At 41.3% G+C, this 6,299-nt stretch overlaps 1 long non-coding RNA gene across 1 annotated transcript; it reads right to left on the reverse strand.

The window, feature by feature from the left end:
* Positions 1-953: 953 nt before the first annotated feature.
* On the reverse strand, positions 954-6,042 carry LOC124900824 (uncharacterized). The gene is made up of 2 exons (XR_007058412.1): positions 5,671-6,042; positions 954-2,589 (listed from the first exon to the last, which is right to left on the reverse strand). It is a non-coding gene; the product is annotated as an uncharacterized LOC124900824 (long non-coding RNA).
* Between the last annotated feature and the right edge of the window lie 257 nt (positions 6,043-6,299).

Here is a 6,299-nt window from a genome sequence, read left to right on the forward strand (position 1 = left end):
TTAATTTTAAAAATTCTACTTGTAGCCACCAAGGTGGAAAACATAGCTTTTATTATTAAACATTTCCAAAAATCAGGCTGGGCGCAGTGGCTCACACCAGTAATCCCAGCACTTTGGGAGGCTGAGGTGGGTGGATCACCTGAGGTCAGGAGTTCGAAACCAGGCTGGCCAACATGGTGAAACCCCGTTTCTACTAAAAATACAAAAATTAGCTGGGCTTGGTGGTGGGTGCCTGTAATCCCGGCTACTTGGTAGGCTGAGGCAGGAGAATCTCTTGAACCTGGGAGGCAGAGGTTGCAGTGAGCCAAGATTGAGCCATAGCACTCCAGCCTGGGTGACAAGAGCAAAACTCCGTCTTTAAAAAAAAAAAAAAATTTAAAGAAAATCATAGAAAATGCTGAGAGGTGAGAAGGACCGGATACTTTATAAGATCCTCCTAATCTTCACAGCTTATAATCTTGCCATTAAATCAGAAACATTATGGGGGAAGTTCAAGAGTGTGGAACTTTAAAAAATGTTTGGCTTGTTTGAGTACATGAGAAATTAGTATAAATATTTACCATATAGTGATTGTCAAACAATGGGATTTACTTATTGTTACACTTTATGGGAGAAAATGAAAATCTCTTCAAGTAAAGTTTATATACATACAAAATCCTCCCCTGGATGTTTGCTTTGGTTTTAATGGGATGTTTCAGTTTGCAAATACTGGTAAGCAGAGTTGTTTAAAGTTGGAACTTGGATAAAGGTCATTTTAGCAGAGCAGCCACACCTCTGCTCTGATACTGGAAGAACCAGCATAAAATTGCTACAGTGGCATAAGTCAATGCAAGATTATGAAGCAATTAACTAGCAGGTTGTGTCGTAAAACTCTGTTCACACTTTTAGTACAGGGGTAAAAGAGGTCAATATTGTTTTTCTTATTTTATAAATTGAAAAACATAAACCTGCAATACGTTGCTCTGACTTTAATAATTTGACCAGTTGGAATTAGAATGTGTTGGAGTTACATGCTGCAACATTTAACCAAGCCTTAGATTTCTGATTAAATATTTTAAATATATAATAGATACAGAATTAACCTTCACACACTCTGATAGCTCAAATCTCTCACTATGATATTGGTGTGATAATGAATTAAAATAAAAATTATAGGTTAAAATAAATTTAAATTAAATTAAATTGACAAGTTCTATGTAGGTTCAGAGAAAGAGACCAAATCCTTCTCCTTGAGTAATTTCAGTGCTTATATGGAATATAAGGGATGCCAACATTAGGCAACGATTTTCAGGATACTTTCCTCTTTCAACTTACACCTAGAGTTGTAAAAAATCCTTCATGTAGGTGACACATTGAGATTCAGATCCTAAGAGGATATGGCATAATTGTTCTCCTTTTAAAAATTTCATTTTGAGGGCTAACATGCTGTTTTCTCTTATTTTTAGTTGACACATGATCATTGTACATACTCATAGGATATAGAGTGATATTTCATTACATGCATACAATGTATAATGATCATATCGGGCTAGTTTGAATATCCATTGCCTCAAACGATTATCATTTCTCTGTGTTATGAACATTCAAAATCCTCTCTTCTAGCTTTTTGAGAGTATACAATAAATGATAGTTAACCATATTTATCCTACAGTGCTACAAAACACCGGAACTCATTTCTTCTATCTAGCTGTAATTCTGTATCTATTAACCAACTTCTCATCATCCTCGGTTCCTCTTTGCCCTTTCCAGGCTCTAATGCTAAGGGCCAAATCTTCATATAAAAAATAGTTGTGAAGAAAAGAAAGTTGGCCAAACCAGGATCACGGCCGTAATCCCAGCACTTTGGGAGACTGAGGCAGGAGGATCATTTGAGGCCAGGAGTTCGTGACCAGCCTGGGTAACATAGTGAGACCCCCATCTCTACAACAACAACAACAAAAAAAAAAAAAAAAAAGAAAGAAAAAAGAAAAAAAAATAGCCATGTGCCACGCACCTAAAGTCTCAGCTACTTAGAAGGCTGAAGCTAGAGAATCTCTTGAGCCCAGGTGTTGGAAGCTGCAGTGAGCTGTGATTGCACTATTGCACTCAGCCTGGGTGACAGAGTGAGACTCTGTCTCAAAAAAAAAAAAGAAAAAAAAAAAAGAAAGAGTTTGTAATTTTTTAAAGTTAAGAAATAGAATTGAAGAGGCTGAGCAGTATCTGGAAACAAAAATCCACTTAAAAACACTCATGTAGCTAATGCCATTCCCTAGATTCATGAGGGCTTTTTTCTGCTGAAACTCTCGAGGAATGAAGCGTTTCTGGGACATGAGCAGGGAGAATGCATATAACCCTCAGAGCTGAGATCATGCACCTCCGACTCTTCCTCCTTGTCCAGTGTTGACTAACGTGGTCTACTGGATTCTGGTCCAGCCATGTTAATTAAGGTGACAATACAAATGAAGTTCAAACTTCCCTAACACACGAAGCTAAGAAATCACAAAATGGAAAAGTCTGAAAGGTCTCAAAACTGGAGCCAGTCTGTAGAGCTGGGGAAGATGATGTGCTTATTGGACTCAACCCAAGAGACTAGTTCCAAAGGAGGGAGACCTGGAAAGAGAAAGAGGTTACTGTGTTGGCATGGCTAAAGGATTTAATTAGAATCTCTCATTAAAATTAACCACATTTCACAGACTTCAGTCGGCAAGAATATTGGAAAATGATGCACAAGGCTGGGAAAAAAATGATCCGTGGTGCTGGATCCATGATCTACTTGGAATTAGTGTAAAAAGTGAGATGAACTTCACTAGGGCTAAATCTCCTGCTTGTGGGTAAGAAAATAACCAATTTCTTTTCATTCATTCTTAAAGACCAAACATGCTTAAAACAAATATTGCCTTTCCCCCTCTAATGTTCATTCTGTACTGGAAGTATTCTCTTTGCTATTTCTTTAAAGTTTTAGTGTAGCCCCTTGGGTCCAGTTTCAGTCAATCAAATAAGAAAAATATTAGTACCACTCCCAGCCACTTGAGCTAATGCATTGAATCAATAATCTGTTTCAATTTATATTATGTAACATACATTATTATATATTTATATTAAAAAATTTAGTCCAGTCCAACATAGTGTTCCTTCCTTTCTGATCCAACATCCTTATTGGGCTTCCACACATGTCCTTCTGGTTTCTGTTGATATAAATTGGTGTATTATAATCTTACGGCTTATATTTCATACCTGTTGGGGCCTGCTGGGATTTGTGTCTGTTCTAGAATCAATGAGAAACGGGTGGGGGTGGGGCTGACCCTGACCCACTGCTCCTCCTAAGGAGGGTCAGAAGTCCTTTGTAAGGCAACCACTTCAGAAGAGACCATTGCAGGACCTTCAGCCATGAGGACAATAATCTCCTTAACCAGGCTAAAAAGGGCTGCTTCTACCAGCAAAGAAGACTTGGCAGATCTGGGGACTTCAGGCCCCCTGCCACATCGAATATGCCTACATACTCCCTTCCCAATTTTTATGAGTCCCTCTCCTTTCCAATCATTGCCTTAACTTTAGCAAAGGAGATCCTGTAAGGTTAAATTCAATTGAATTGAACTTTGGGTTTGGTTTTCAGAAATCTTGACTCTAGCTACAAGAAAAGATGCTTTTTTTGGCGAGGGGGAGGGCAGTCATAGAAGATTTCTAGTCCTTTAGCCAGACCTTGAGTTGGGAATTTAAAGCCCTAAGCTCATCATTTTCTTTCTCCAAGTGCTGCAGAACACTTCAAAATCAGCAAGCAACCCCATTATGTGTAAAGTGTTCTATGGCAGGAGCTACACATAGTCACCTGAAGCCTTGCTTGCTTTTTTTTTTTTTGAGAGGGAATCTCACTCTGTCACCCAGGCTGGAGTGCAGTGGCGAGATCTTGGCTCACTGCAACCTCCGCCTCCTGGGTTCAAGCTATTCTCCTGCTTCAGCCTCCGGAGTAGCTGGGAGTACAGACACCCACCGTCATGTCCAGCTACTTTTTGTATTTTTGTAGAGATGGGTTTCACCATGTTGGCCAGGCTGGTCTTGAACTCCTGACCTCAGATGATCCGCCCGCCCTGGCCTCCCAAAGTGCTGGGATTCCAGGCGTGAGCCGCTGCGCCAGGCCTGAAGCCTTGCTGTCTATAGGCACTTGATGACAGGTCTCTATAGGTAAATCATTAAAATCACTTTTGCCATCTTGTTTCATACATGACCGTTACCCTCTTTACCGATGGAAACAGAATCACTAACACTTTAAAATTGAATCAGATCAGAGAACCAATTTCAGGTAGCCTAGAACTGGTTCCAAGGACACATCCTCTGAAACGATTTCTGGCACGGGTTTCCATAGAAGGCAGGGTTCAGTCAGAGATGCTGAATCACTGTAAGTGGTACGGAATAATGGATTCATTTTGGGGATTAGACGTTACACAATTGTGGGAGTTGCTGGAGGAGTCAGTGCAAGGCTGTTGCGTCTTCGTCTGGTGATGAAATCCTTGTAGGTTACTAGACCCACTTGGGGAAGAAAAGCCAGGTATGAAATGGCATCAGCAAGGACAGACTGTGACCCACTAGAACACACTGGAACCCACAAGGATAACTGGGACCCACAAGAACAAACTGGAACCTGTGTCTGCCTCACTGGCTCCAACATGGTGACACTGACCAGGAGGAGATGTGGAGCCTCCTTCATCGAGGAGCTGCACACACACCTGGCCTGGGACGCAGAGGAGCTGCAGGGATGTTCTGGTGGGAACTGGAGAAGGAGGAGCCTGGCTGGTGGCCACGGGACAGGATGTGCTTGCACATTAATGACAACGTGTGTGGCTCCCACACTGCCCAGAGCCTGCACTGACCTTCAGAACCTAAAGATATGGCAGAGCCCTTGCTTTTGTCTCCCAAATATTGGGCAAAATTCTCTTGTGGTCTGCCCTAACCCAGCAACATGCAGGGAAGAGAATGCTGGAAATGCAGTCCCAGCTTGGCTAAGTTGACCAAAGCAGCAAACAATCAGTATTTCCTATTGTCATGGGGTTTATATTCTAGTGAGGAAAGGGACTATCAATAAGTGAGTAAATATGTACGTGTGTATGTGTATTTCTTATAAGAACCTTCTGAGATAGGAATGTGTCTTATCCCTATTTGACAGATGAGAAAACTAAGGCCAAAATCGATTAAGTATTTTGCCCTAGGTCCTGTAGCTCATAAGTGTCAGAGCAAAGCTCTGGACAAGGCAGTTTGCAATCAAATTCCAATGTATACTAATTGCTATTCTGTTTTGTTCATTCTGCAGTAGCCTTCCCCAAACACTCAACCCAAATGGGATACTTTCAGGTGATATTGCAGATGTTATTAGTTTATTGCATTCATACTATTTTATCCTTCAATTGTGTTGTACTTATTAATAATGACTTACCTAATTGGATATAAAACTCTTTGATCGACAATATGAACATGTGTGTGTGTGTTCACTTCGGCTGTTAATAGTGTTGCGCACTCAGCCAGCGCCTTGTAAATTCTTGTTGTGTTGACTTAAGGGCTTGAACAATCACACAGCGAGGCATGTGTACCTGTGGCCTAAGCAGCATTAAGTTTGAAAGAAACCTTTTCCTAAGTGCTTTGCCATTCTTTGAAATGTGCTGAAGAAAAGAGAAAGCAGTCACCACTCCCTCCAGGACCTACCTCTGTACTGGCCTCAGATCATCACGTAATTCAGACAAGCTGGGGCACGGGAGCAGTCGGGAGGACAGAGGGGTCCCGCTGAGGCTGGCCCAGTGGCGGTCACGGTCGGGTTTGCCACGAAGGATCCTTCCAAAGGCCTATTAAGTGAATTCCTGTAGCTCATTCAGCCGATGGAAGGTAGAAGGGACTCAGAACTTCAGGCCTAATTCTGCGTTTTTGTATGCCCCAAGAATGAAAGGGCTCTTTGTGAATTTGCATGTAGATTTATTTAACATTCAACCGGCAGAAAACGGAAGGTAGTGCATGACACTGGGGGGAACCAGGCCCCCGCCCACCTCACATCGTCATGGCATTAGCTGTTTACTGGCTCCCGTGGAAACATTGGAAGGGGATTTGTTTTGTGGTTGGGTTTCCTTTTTTTTTTTTTTTTAGCATGATTGCAGTTAGATCTGCAGTATTTCCTCAAATATGTGAGGGGAAGGGAGCGGTGACTTCCTAAAGGAAAGTATTTATATTTTTAGACTGAAATAGGCTGTTACAAAGCTTTTCTCCAAAAACACATTTAAAAAAGGAGTGTTCTAAACAATAGAAAATGTATCTTAACGCATAGTTAAGGTAGTTTATCTTAT

This window comes from Homo sapiens, chromosome 4, assembly GCF_000001405.40.
Source record: "Homo sapiens chromosome 4, GRCh38.p14 Primary Assembly".
Lineage (NCBI taxonomy): Eukaryota > Metazoa > Chordata > Mammalia > Primates > Hominidae > Homo > Homo sapiens.